General features: G+C 40.9%; 1 protein-coding gene and 1 non-coding gene across 20 annotated transcripts in view; both read left to right on the forward strand.

Moving 5' to 3' along the window:
* The window catches only part of NPAS3 (neuronal PAS domain protein 3), an 869,389-nt gene that overhangs the window by 768,882 nt on the left and 86,207 nt on the right, over nucleotides 1-14,300 (forward strand). The window lies entirely within an intron of this gene.
* SNORA89 (small nucleolar RNA, H/ACA box 89) lies at nucleotides 5,271-5,447 on the forward strand. Its single transcript, NR_132771.1, has one exon. It is a non-coding gene; the product is annotated as a small nucleolar RNA, H/ACA box 89 (small nucleolar RNA).

Genomic DNA, 14,300 nt, shown 5'->3' on the forward strand with positions numbered 1-14,300 from the left:
TGATAAAATTAACAACAACAATAATAATAGCAACAAATAGGGAGAACTTCCTATGTGCCAGGCCATATACATGTATTATCTGGTTTAATTCTTACCAAATCCTTTGAGGTAGGAACTATTATTAACCCCATTTTACAGGTGAGTAAAAAATCTCAAAAAGGCTAAATAACTCATCTCAAGATCACACACCAGTAAGCAAGAGGGCCAGGATTTCAACCCAGTAGCCTGACCCCAGAGCCCATGTTCTCCACCACTCTGTACCAAGAGCAGAGACTCTAAAGTCAGGCACACTTGACTTTGAATCTCGTCTCAGAGCTGGGAAACCTTGGACAAGTTATTTTACTTTCTAAGCCTCAATATCTTTATCTGTAAAATGAATATACAGTAATAAGACCCACTTCAAAGGACTATGTGAGGATGAAAGAAAACCCGTAGAAAAGCACAAAGTAAAACACTATATTATTGCCCATTACCTTGCACATAAATACGCAGTGAAATCTAGAGAATTTTTAGGAATAAAGAATGAAGTCATGTGATAACAAATTAGATGGCTAATATGAGTTATGAAAGTGTGTGTACATATAAATTATAATGTGTGTGTACATATAATTTTTATCTCTGCAGATTACTTTTTTAAGTTCTTGTAACAACAGAATTGTAGCTAAAAATTAATTGTTAAGTGAGAATTTAAAAATTTAACATGGGATTAACCAAGTACATCACTCTCAGAATTTAGAAATTGGAGGTACAGCTATGGTTGTAGTTAAGACATTATTTTACTTCCTTATTGCATTACAATTGATTGTGTAGAAAAATCTCAAATATAAAAATAAAAAGTAGTTCATGCATAAAGCATGATGCCCTGAAGCATATTAGATCTGTTTATCTCTTTGTTTAAAATGAATGCTACCTGGTATAGTTTACATAACATGGCAGGGATCAGCTTGATAAAGTGTTTATATCACCTGGGGAACACACTGGCTCATTTTCTCAACACCTTTCCACATGACTAGCTTGCCAGCAAGTATAATAGCAAACAAAGTTTTAATAGGTCAAGAGCAGAGTAACTGCTCACATTAACAAGAGGGAGAGAGCGGCTTGACGTGCACCAAGGCTAATAACTGACATTTTCAGCATGCATTTTTGAATGCTGCTTAATGGAGAGTTTAGAAGAAAAGGCTTTTATAAAAGCCTGACATAACTTCTAAGCTTTGGGTGGAAAGAAGAGGAAAAAATAGGGTGGCATTGCTATGCACCCACACTTGAAAATATGGGTGCAGTTTCAGGCAGGTCGCTCATAAACCATTTCTCCATCACTTGTCTGCCTTAGCAACTCACAATTAACTCCATTATTAAGCTTAAGGATTTATTGCATCTCTTCCACTTTTTTAAAGCTGTCCAATAGGGGAAGCGCCCTCATTTTTATTTGTTTGTTGTCTAAGTGAAGCTGCTACTTAGAGACTGTTTCTGTCATATCACACCAGTTTTACTGAAAGGTACAACAATACAGATAAACATGATCTGTTTTAGAACCTTTCTTTCACCTACCAGGAGGGAAAAGGGGGTTGTACATCCTCTCTCTCCTTCCTTCCAGCTTTGTCTTCCTAGGGCAGTGTGATTATCTGTGAGGTTAGTAGCATCTACACAGTTAGTTCATTGGCTCCCTTTTCCCCCTAGAAGCATGCACAATAATACATTTCAGTAAAGTTTTGGGAGTGTTGAAATGAAGATATGTTGCTAACCCTGGCTTTGGCAGCCCATAAATGACAAAGGTTTGTTCAACACTGAATTTATCCTTTCCGCATTACCAAGAGGGAGGCGAAATCGGCTACTGTATTTAAATGGAAGAATGAAAAAGACTTTCTTTTGTTGCAAAACCCGTGTCTTTTGCGGACATTCTAGAGTTGAAGCCTCTAATAATACAGGGCGTGGAGAAGCTATGTAGAAAAAAAGAATTGGAAGTTCGTGTGGAATGTTCCTTAGATACAAGCCACTGTGGCAAATAGGAAACTTTGTCAATATGTATCCAGGCTCCTGTGGGATACAGATCAGTAACTGAATCATAGGTAAATAGATAGATTAGATATGGCAGTGGTGGGAAATACGTACTGAAAAACAAATCCACAAGAACAATTTTACAGGGCTTGTCTTCTATTTTCATAAGGAAACTAAGCCAAATCATCTGACAAGGGCGGAAATCAAATCATCTGTCAAGTTCCTCTACCTTTCATTTATCACACAGTTTAATACCATAATGAAAAATAGCAAATGAAAAATGAAGTGAATGACCAACGAAAAATGCATTCTCTAAGGATACAGTGATGTGTTATTAGCCTAAATCCTCCACCCCTGTACACATGTAACTGCTAGGGGAGGCCCTGTGGCCACACAACCCTTTTCATTCAAGTATGACAAATCCCGGGATGACATTAGCACCATGGTTGGGAGAGCCATCAGTACATAAAAGCTTCCCTCTCCTTTTATTCCTCTCAGCCTCCTACATTTCTTTATCCCTTCTTTACATCAAAATATGAGCTAGTAGGGGGTTTCTGTATGTAAGCAGAGGCCCAGAAATTCCATACACAGCAAAGAAATCAAGTGGTGGAGAGGGAGGATGGAGCTACCATTCACTGGGTGTTCACCACATGCCAAAGATTTATCTTTAGAATATCCATGTAAGGGATTATGAATCCCATTTTCACAGCAGAGGAAACTGAAAATCAGAGCAATTAAAGTCATTCATCCAAACTCTAGAAATGGTGGAGCCACAGTTTGGACCGAGGCCTAGCTGACACCAAACACCATGCCTTCCCCCATAGATCTGGCTGTTTCTCATGATCCAGGAAGATAGAAACGTCTGACAAAATGGACACTGGGGCACGTGGATAGGAGTAAAATGAATAAATAGGAACTTTTTACTGGACAGCCTTAAATATAAAATCTAAACAATAATGGCTAACATGTGCCAAGCATTTTCAAAGTATTATATTACTTTGAAACTATGTGTGCCAAGCATGAACTTATTCAATCCTCCCAATAATCCTAGGAGCGCAGATTATTGTTCACCCCATTTCCAGATGATGGACTTGAGGGCTCAGAGACGTCAATAAGTTAGCCCAAAGTTGCACAGCTAGGAAGCAGCCCTGAGCAGCTGATTCAGAGCCTCCCCTGGCTCCGTCTCACGTCTTTTCAGCCTAACCTCAAAGAAGGAAACAAGAACTTGCCTGGGACAAAAACGCTCCAATGGCACCCTCTTGGTTCATCATAAGAAAAGGCTATCTTTAAGAAAATCACTTCAGGAACAGCAATGAAATAGCTCCATTTAAATAATACACCCATTAAAATAAAATATTATGTGTCCTCTATCTTCCTGTCTAAACAGTGTAAGCTTGGGGGAGAGATAACATTTATTTTACACACTTGGTAAAGTCTAGCAGATTGTGGGTACTCACATCAGTCTCCTACTCCTAAGCCAAGATGATTAATAAGGCAGAATATATTTATTTCTAAGGAGCAGAGGAGTTGATTCTGATTTAGACAGTATGTGCTGTTGAGCTGCAAAACAAAATTGACCTCAGCATAATTAAGTTGGACACTGGTGGAGTGAGGACTTGAACACAAATAGTTCTATTTCGACAAGTAGAATTCAAGAGCAGCTGGTTTCTTTTTCTTCTTTTTTTTTTTCAAAAGGAGAATGATGATTATTTAATATTTGTTGAGTGCCAACAGTGTACTCAGCGCTGTGCAAGACCCAGGAACTGGATGTTGGAAACTGCCTGAAGGGAACTTTAGCAAATTAAAATCCATAGAATCAGCATGAAGGCAGCTGAGGAATACCTGATTAGAGGAAGAATCTCTTCGCCTGTCCCAGAACAACAACAACAAAAAAGGAAGTGATAGGCGAGAAATAAAAACCTGTATGGTTCAAATCGCAGGAATGCAGTCGGGTGGAAAAGTATGCTTTAAAAGAGAGAATTCCTGCCCAAGTGGAGCTAATAGAAGGGAACATAAACTTCAGCAGGCAAGATGGAGGGCAGGAGAAGGAAGAATAAATTCAAAGAACAAAGACATCAAGGCAAATTATCAGCCTTTCCTCTAGCCCTTCCAGAGAAAGAGGCCTGGAGGAAAGGCAGCCCCATAGGTCAGGGTGTCGGGAGAAGCTGGAGGGATCTGCAGAGCACAGCTAAATTATCGCTTTGCCTGCATGCGTGGCACACAGCACAGTGAGTCAATATCTGAACCGGGGGGTGGTGAGGGAAGGTATGCTTTTGGTGGTGAATGTGAAGTTGTGTCCTAGATGTGGGAACGTGGAAGAAAGCCACAGTAGAAATTACATTTTATTACCTCACCAGGGGCTGATGGCCCTTACTTGGCAAGTCATCGAGCAGCCACAAAAAAAAACACAAAAAAGCAGCAGCAGCAGCAGCAGCAGCTGGCCACCACCAGCACCTCACCGTGTTCATGGCTGCAGCAGCTGCCCTAACGTAGGCAGGTTTCGCAGCAGCCACCCAGCCCTGGGACAGTGAGCCCAGAACAGACCTCTCAATGAGCAAGGCGGTGTCCTCGGAAGAAACCGCACAGTGATAGAATAATAGCAAATTGGAGAAGACTTAGGTGCTTTAGAATCCTTTGAAGAAGTCCCCAAAACCATGGATAAAAGGGAGTACTGGTGGGTGTGATACATTTTGACTTTCAAAGGACTTTAGGTAAGAAAGAAAGAAAAATAATAATAATAATCCTTGCAAGAGGCTATTGAGCCAAATTGGTAACCATGGGGCAAGTGTTAAAATTATGTTACATCTTAAAAACTAGTTAAGAGATGGAAGGCAATGAGTAGGAATAAAAGGCCATTTCTTTCTGTAGAAAGAGGTTAATTGTGGGGAGCCCAGGGGAGAAAACCAATACAGGCTTTATTCAGAGTCTTAACGACCTGGAAGAGGAAGATGAAAAGCAAGATGGCAAAACTTATTGATGAAAAAGAATTATTTAAAAGTATTTGAGTCATGGAAGAGTCAGAGAGTCTAGAAAACACAGACACATGGAGGTGGGGGGAGCAGGACGGGAAAATTAAAAATAACCCAGCAAGTAAAAATTCAGTCGAAGCAGGCAAAGGGCAATGCATCTCTGAAAGGCAGAGGAGCCCAGGTCATTCCAGGGCTCAGCATATGGGCACTGCTGTCCTGAGTGTGTGTGGGTCTTTGGTAGGATTGACTGAGACTAGGGTTTGGTCATGCAGAGGCTAGCTTTTCTGCCTCTACTAGACCTGAGCACCTCAGTATTTCATTTTCTCCATTTGCAAAGTAAGGACAAGAAAATTGGCTTCATTTGTAGGTTTACTGAGAGATTGGATCTATTACTGATTGAAAATAGATCGGAAAGCCCAAGTGAGATGGTGTTACCCCCATATATTTATTGATTGAATGAGTGGACAGTTCTCCACAACACCCAAGTGGCTTTTGTATTCCACTCTTCTGCCTGCCTGCGGCACATAACTGAAGCTCTTTTCTATTCACAAAAATAACTGCTTTATTTCTACAGATGGCACCAAAGCATACCCTGCGCGCGTAAGTCAGTCATTGTCCCCTGGAGAAAGGTGGTTGTTCATGAATAGGAGGTTAATCAGCTTCTTATAAATTTTAGCTATTTCAAATTTAAAGGAAAAACCGTCCCACCCCGAAGGCTGATGAATAATATCACAGGATGCCAGGAGAGGCAGAAGTGAATTCATACTCTCTGCTACTTCCCGCCCCCATTCTCCCATCCCTGGCCATCTGGAGAACAGAGCCTACCCTCTGAATAAATAACTCGGGAGGGCAAGAGTTTAGGTTGACTTCATGGCTGAATTGGATGATGTCAGAGAGTAACAGCACAAGGAAAGTTTGGGGAGTTGATATTATGAGTAACATTTGCTAAGTTCTTTCCAGTGTGAGAAGTGCTTTCACATCCATTATTGAGTTTGATTCCCACAAGGGCCAACCCTGTGTGGGAGTCCACATATCACCATTTTATAGATGAGAACACTGAAGCCCGCAAAGGTTTACCGCCTGCTAATGAACAGCCAAGCCCAACTTCACCATGGCTGTTCTAATTACAAACCCAATCCTTTCTGCTTCACCAAATAAGAGGAGGAAGAAAATAAGCCTGCCCTTCCTCAGGACTTAAATATCCCCCATGCATGTAGGATGGTTGATATGTATCATGCTGGGATTTTTACAGACCACTCCCTTACCCTCCCACACACTGTGCACACAGCCCCACGCCCAGCCTGGAGAGCACTGAAGGTAAACCGAAGTGGCGACTTCAACACTCACACTTGTGTTAGCAAGAGCAAACCACCAGAGAGATGTGTTTACACATTCAACATTACCCTTAGGGAGTCTGTGGAGATTGTGATTTCTATTTGCACTCATCTTATGTTAGTGATTTTCATATTACATTAGCAAATTTAATCTCTGCTCATGTGATAGGAAGTTACTAACACAATGCGACTTGATGTAACAACTTTCAGACTTTGGTGGCAAAGGCAAAACTTGTGAGCAGAACGCCAATTCCAATCTCTAATTAAAAAATAGATCAGAACACAGAGACATCCGCAGTTCCCATATTTTAGATCTAGAATAGAGCCAAAGTTGAGGGTAAAGAGTTTGTATCTGAGAAATTTGTGAATGGGGACAAATAGCTTGAGGAATCACTGCTAGGCTTGAGATCTTATCTTTCTTGTCCTGAGTTGATAAAGGGTCATTTGTGAACCACATAGCTTCTTATCCACCAGACTCACTGGAACCTCAGCAAAGTGTGGGTGTTGAAATCACCAAAATAATGATCAAATCTCACTCTATTAAGCCGAGGCCGCATTCTTCTCCTACAAGCCCTTACCCTTTTGGCTGGAAAACGAATGGCTCAGTCTCATCAGGCGTGCCCCGCTCCTGACTGCTCTCTGCTGTCAGTGCCGACAAGGGGAGACACATCCAGACAGTGGGTCCCCGGAGAAAGGAAAAAGGAGTGCCCCAAGTGAAGGACTGGCCCCAGGACATTGTGCTATAGGCTGAGTGTCCCTAGGACATTCTGAGAACTAACTCTAGTGCTAACTTTTATTTATTCTAGGCTTCCATAATGCAGCCACAGAAATTGAGACTGCTTTAGAATCATGGTAATAAGCTAGAGAAATTTGAACATATCTTACAAACAAACCTTTATTTCCGTTATGTACATGAGAAGTATGTAATTTAGATTACCAGGTAGCCAGATATGCTGAGATCCAGAAATTCATACAAAGTGCCAAGGTTCTCAGATCATAACCCAGTCTTATGCCAAACACAGAACTTCTCGAATATTTGCTTTAAAAGTTCTGCTGGGAGCAAGCGCAGGTTTCCAACTCTCTCACCTTCATGACTGAAGCCCGTCTACTATTAGTATTTTTCTTTTTACCAGACGAGGATTTGTTGCTGTAATACATACGTGCATGCACTGTATAATAAAACTTTCCTGATTATCTTATAACTGCACATTAAAAATTTACTAAGATAAAATTAATGTGATTTTAATAACATTGTTTTAATATACAGAATGTCAGGTGACAGGGAAAAAAATCTATTTTGAATTCAGCATGCAGTATGCCTCTTTCAGCACCTTCGTAACAATAACTGAACTGGCGGACGAGTGTTGTCTGTTAAGATTTCTGATACGCACGTCCCAGGGGAGATGGCTGAAGTTGGGGCCTTTTAAAATGCGACCGGACAATGCTTTTGAGACTATAACATAGAGAACTTCCCTGGGTGACAGAGAGACCGGGCCAAATAAACGTAGATAGAATGTTGTTTCCTGTACGCTTTTCTGTAAGATTCAGCCAGAGTACATAACTTCAAAGAATCTTTTGATGGAGAAAAATGTTTTCATTCGCCTGTTTTATGATAGTGCTGCAGGATACTTACAGTTGATTTACTATAATGACAGGACCTAGATATGGTCCCAAAGGAAAAGAAATCCTACTTTTCTTCTGCCACCTACCCATCACATTTATTATTCCCAGCTAGGGGGTGTGGACAGGCAAGTGTCAGGTTAAAGGGAAAGATGGTCAGAACATGGTGAGCAGCGATCATTAGATTCCTACCAGGGTCACTCGCACAAGGCCTGTGACTCAGGGCAGTAACGTTCCCATAGTCAGGTGCCTGCTCACTCCAAACCCCCAAGAAAGAGAGCAGACCTCCCAGTTCTGCACGGCTGCTTAGGGGATTTGAGGGGCCAGGGAGAAGTAACAGTCTGGCTTCTACCCCGTTGGGCAGAGACTCAGCTAAAGGAAGTGCCAGGACACTGTGCTGACCCACTTCGAGCCCTTCCTCTCCGTTTGTTCTCAGGCAGAAGAGATACAAAAGCATCACTATGGCATGGTGAAAAGTTGGAGAAGCATTCTGCAAATTGACATGCAAATAAGCACTCCAAGTACTCCACTTTGTTCTAAAAATTCCCATCACTGGGAGCTGTAAAAAAACACCAATCAGAAGAGGGGCAGTGATGGGAAGGACCTGGTGGTTTTGCAACCAGAGTCTCCCCCTTGGAGGGATTGCTTCTGTACCACGTTCTAGCCTCAGCTGGCACAGGTGAAGCAAAACACCCCCCACCAAATGACCAAGAAGCCAACAGATTTAGATGTAACTGATCTGTATTCTATAATAACACACACGCATTCAAGTGGCATCTGCTATGAATGATATTAGCTGTCCACACAAGCAAATAAGATGCAAACAGGCTTCATACCCTGGGTTCATGAAGAGAAGCCAACTATATCAAATGAGACAAAGGCAACTGTCTCCACAAAGCCAGTTCCTGCACCTTGAGCAAATGCACAACTTTTTTAGTGTTAAGGACATTCAAGTTCGAGACAAAAACAAATCCCTGCCTTAATCACGTAATCACTGTTTTTTAAATCACCACTGCCTCTGATAACCTAGATGTCAAGACCCCACCAACAGTTCCTATGGCACACTATGTACAATGCTAAATGAAGTCAGATATCACCAGGAAAGTGAAGTCTCTGACTTGTTAATGGGCTACACCAGGCTGCAGAATGTCTCTGTGGCTTAATTCATGATACACACTAGAACCTGAGAAACCCAGTTCATTCTTACAGTGGGCAGTGCAGGCCATGGGTAAACAAGGTATAGCACATGGGACGGGAAGGAGAGGTGTTAAAGGAAATGCTCCGAAAGCTAGGCTCTTTACTGGGAAATTAGAGGATTCATTCTAATTACAAACCTGCCATTTATAATGTGTCTCCCTCCTCTCATCAACAGGAGGCACTTTCTCTATGCTGTGTGGGGTCATTTTGCCATATTCATCTCTTACTCCTCCCAATTATCCCAGAGTCAACCCTTCTGAAAATGATCATCCCTTCTTCTCTCTTACTGAAGGTGTTCTTTGTCAGGAAAGCCAAGCCACACACTCAAAGTCCTGAGTTTTGTTCCATTTTATCATCTACTATCTGCCAACAGAGATTAGTTCAATTCTGTTATCAACTCAATTGATTTACAAGGTCTCATATAGTAAGTCGAGAGCAAGTACAACCCCAAGGCTGGTTAATTCAATGGTCCAACGTGATTACAAAAAAACAGGTTCCTTCCATCGTGCTACTCTTGCCCCCTCAACATATGAGTCTCATCCTCAGCCTTATCCCTTAGTTAAGTTGGTAGCAATAACCATAGCCTCACAGCCATGTCCAGATGAAGACAAGGCATGTTTGCTTTTTTGAGGGAGGAGGGGGTCTCCTTTTAAGTTTAAGCAAAACTTCTCCCAGAAGCCCCATCTGGCAGACTTCCCTAACTTCTCATGGTAGAATTGCATCAGTGCCTATGCAGTCACCTTTGGAGGCATGCTTGATGCTTGACATCTCTCTTCCTCTGACATCCACATTCAGTCCACAAGCATGTGCTGTCAGCTGTTGCTTCGAGATACATCTTGAATCTGACCTCATCTCACTATTGTCACCACCACCATCTCACCCTGCACTGCGGCAGCAGCCTCCTTGATTGTGCTCCCACCCTCTGTCCTTTAGTCTCACACAAGAGCCAGATCATGCCTCAGCTCTACTGAAAACTCCCATGGGGCCTTTGTCATCATATTTAGAGTAAAATCCAAAGTTCTTCAGGGTCATACCTGTGATATGTCCATAGAACACATCTCAGCATCTCTCTGCTTTTATCGCCATCACTTTTCCTCCCAAACTCTGCTGTGTCCACATTGGCCTCCTTGCTATTCCTCAAACACATGATGTTCCTACCTCTGGACTCTTGTACAGGCTGTTTCTTCTTCCTGGAACACTATCTCACCGGATATCCAAAAGGGTCACGACATTCCTTCCTTCAAGTCTGTAATCAGATGCCCCCTTCTCAGTGAGGTCTTCTCTGGCCACGTTATTTAAAATTACAACTCTCACCTGCACATTGTGCACATGTACCCTAAACTTAAAGTATAATAATAATAAAATTTTTTAAAAAGACTAAAAAACAAAAATTACAACTCTCTCCCTCAGCATTTCATATTTAATCCTCTGTCTTATTTGTCCCCACAGCATTTCATACCATCTAGCACACTAGATCTTTTTTCTAAATCTTCTAATGGAATGTAAGCTCTATTAGGGAGACATTTTTTTTCTTTCTCCTCCCACCCGTCACTCTCCTACTGTAACTTCAAAACCTAGAACGGTGACTGGAACCAGTAGAACTTCATTAAATACTTGTTAACTGAATAAATTCTAACACCAGCTGTGGACAACTGGACCCCATGATGGCTTACACCAATTACGATCCATACTTGGGGGTGAACTTGCTTTCCCTGAAGATCGTAGCTGGGCACAGGAAGATGGATACTTGGGAGGAGATAAATGCCTGGGGGAAAATTGAGTCTTTCTTAGGAAAATAAGAAAGGAAGACTTTGGGTAAGAAGTCAACAGTACTAACTATATTTTCTTTAATTTATTTCCCTTTTTAAAAGCAAGAGAGATAATTATCAAATTTATCCTGGAGTCATGAAAAATACCTTACGTCACTGATTCTATTTTTTTCACATTTTAACATCTCTGACTTTGGAGTGCATCTTACAATCACTGTCATCCAATGATCCCATAACTGGCAGTGATGTTTTCTTTCTTGGTGCTTCACAAAAGGATGGGGCATTCTTAAAATGGATGGGGTCTTAGATTCAATGACATCTCACTTCTGATGTACAAAGTGATGCTACAGAAAAAAGAAAATCACCATCATTGTCCATAGACATGTAAAGCTGGCAGTTATGACATAAGCCAGTCTTGACATCTCTCATGATTCCCAGGAAAACTAGACATTCTCTTTTTCTCTTGCCTTCATATTGAGCAGCTTTGATTTAAGATAATGTCTGAGCAGAGAAGCTTTGTTCAGCAGTGTCATTTGACCCAGATTGTATGTTTTTATAGCTTGAGCCAATTAGTTAAAGTGACTTTGACTATAATAGGGACCTGTGACTTTCCTCAGTATTATTGCATTAGTCACCCTGGAACAGTTTCTGGCTTGTGTTTGTAAGCTGGCTCTGATTGTGCCTTTCTCATTCTGATATTTATATGATTTGTTGCTGTCCTATAAAATAATGACCTTTGAGTCCTTGAAAGTAAACCCTCTCTGATTCTGTTTATTTCAATAAGTCCTTGGCACTTGATGGCATAGTGTGAATCACCTTTACTGTCCTGATTGCTAATTGAAGTGGGTTGTTTTTCAGTATTTTAAATCTATATTAATTAAATGAGCATTGGGCTGGGAGTAAGGAGACTCCTTAGAGTTGTACTCCCAACTCTGTTCCTGGGGAACAGGATAAACCTGGGAGGTCGCTTACTCTCCCCTGCTCTTGCCTGTACATGGGGAGATTGTTCTAGATCAGCTAGCTCTATACGTCTGTGTTGGAATGGGCTAATGGTGCCAGTCACAGTGTATGCTTAATTTGGGCTACGATTCCAGCCTCCATCACAAGTCTGGGCCTCAGTAAATGTACTAATTTATCTACAAAATAAAGTTTAATAAACACTGATATGGTTTGACTGTGTCCCCACCCAAATCTCATCTTAACTGTAGCTCCCATAATCCCCACGTGTCATTCGAGGGACCCAGTGGGAGGTAACTGAATCATGGGAGTGGGTTTTTCCTGCGCTGTTTTCTCATGGTAGTTGAGTAAGTCTCACAAGATTTGATGGTTTTATAAAGAGCAGTTCCACTGTGCATGTTCTTTTGCCTTCTGTCATGTAAGTCATGCCTTTGCTCCTCCCTCGCCTTCCACCATGATTGTGAGGCCTCCTCATCCATGTGGAACTGTTAGTCCATTAAACCTCTTTTTCTTTATAAATTACCCAGTCTTGGGTGTGTCCTTACACAGCAGTGTGAGAACAGACTAATACAAACACTGACCATGAACTCCTTGGGGGCAAGACCACTATCTCATTGGTCTTTGTAACCTGTCTCCACACAGATACTACTGGTTAGAGACAGTATCCATACAATTCACTTCTGTATCTCAACTGCCCAGCAGAGTGTAAGTGCTTCATACATATCTGCTGAATGATCAATAATTGGAATATGGTACTCCAGCTACTGTTTCGTCTTAGCCGTCATGGAAACCACAGCTTTTCATTCTCTCCACCCTTTGTATCATGATTCTTCCCTATCTTGTTTTTCTTGTTTTTCCTTCTCTATGTCTACTTTTGCTTTTATTTTCTTTTCATCTGTTTTTTGTCTCATTAGTATGTCATGTTTCATTAGTATGTGTTCTAATCCCTTTTTTGTGGTAAAATATACATGACATAAAAGTTATCATTTTGCCATTTTTAAACATACATTTCAGTGGCATTAAGTACATTCACATTGTTGTGCAACCACCACCCCTGTCTCTAGAACTTTTTCATCATCCTAAACCGAAACCCTGTACCCATTAAACAGTAACTTCCCATTTTTCCCGCTGGAAATCCTTGGTAATCTTTATTCTACTTTCTTCCCCTATGAGTTTGCCTGTTCTAGATATGTCATATAAGCGAATTCTCATCCTTTTTTGTGTTTTGGAGTATTTTCCTGGTCGTTGTGCCCCTTCTTTTAGTCTGCATGTCCTTTTTGTTGCTGTTGTTTCTGAGCGCCGCCCCCACCCGACGATGGCTCATTTTCTCTGTCCTCCTATGCACCCTCAGCTGCCATCAACTGTGTAGCATTTCCTTTACATCTCTCATTTCTTATATCCATATATAATCTTTACATTTTTAATTCAATCTTTTGAAAAGTGTTGTGTTTCATTTAAATGTGTTATAAAATGTTTAAGGAAAGAAATATGACTCTAAAATGTTTTGAAAGCAGGTTTCTGTAAAGGGCTAGCTCCTAAAATGACAGCACTCAAAGAAGGCACTGAGTAGAGAGGGAATGGGAGTTGATGTTGTTAGAAGGGGTTTTGCCAGAGAAACCATTTCCTGCTTGAAAACCACTGTACGATTGACATAAACTTATGAATTATGTAAGTTTGTTGAATAACCTAAGCATTCTTGGGCTTTTTCCATCTGATCATGGCCAAAAAAAAAAAAAAAAAAAATCGCAAGGAGAGGAAAACCAGTTTCCTCAGGGACAAAAGGTAGGAAGGAGTCCTAGAGTTTAGTGACATAGGCACAATGATTCCTTCTTTCTGAGAAGGGGCAAGTTAAGCACTCTAATTATTGATGTTCAATAACAACTTCTCCCTGAAATCCTAACTGTTCAGAGCAGGGTGAAAGTGAATATTTCAGGGAAGTTCTGGATAATGCAAGCAACAACCCCGTAAACACACAAACCTAAGTACATAGAGATAGATATTATTATAGAATAATAAATACTCATTTCATAAAATCTGGAAAATAAAGTAAAAATTAAAATCACCCCAAATTCCTGCCATCTTTTTGCTTGCATTCTCATATATTTCTTTCTATGCCCAAGGAAGGACCGTGAAATATGTTGCAGGAGAGACCCTGACAGAAAGCTAAAGATTTCTAAGTGAATTACAATGACCACATCTAGATTCCGTTTAGGCCATGCTATATAAGCAACAGTGGGTGTTTTAAAGTACATGGTCATAGACAACAGATCCTCTTTAAAATAGGGAAAATAAAGGTGCTTATCTCAAAGAGTGCTGCGACAACTAAATTAAATGTATATGTAAATCACCTGGCATTAATCCTAATCCCCCTCTACCTCAAAGCTGGTATACACAAAATAAAATGGTTATTGAGAAAGTCTAGCCAGTCACCCAGCTTTGAGGTTTAAAATTATAATGGT

This window comes from Homo sapiens, chromosome 14 (genome assembly GCF_000001405.40).
Source record: "Homo sapiens chromosome 14, GRCh38.p14 Primary Assembly".
NCBI lineage: Eukaryota > Metazoa > Chordata > Mammalia > Primates > Hominidae > Homo > Homo sapiens.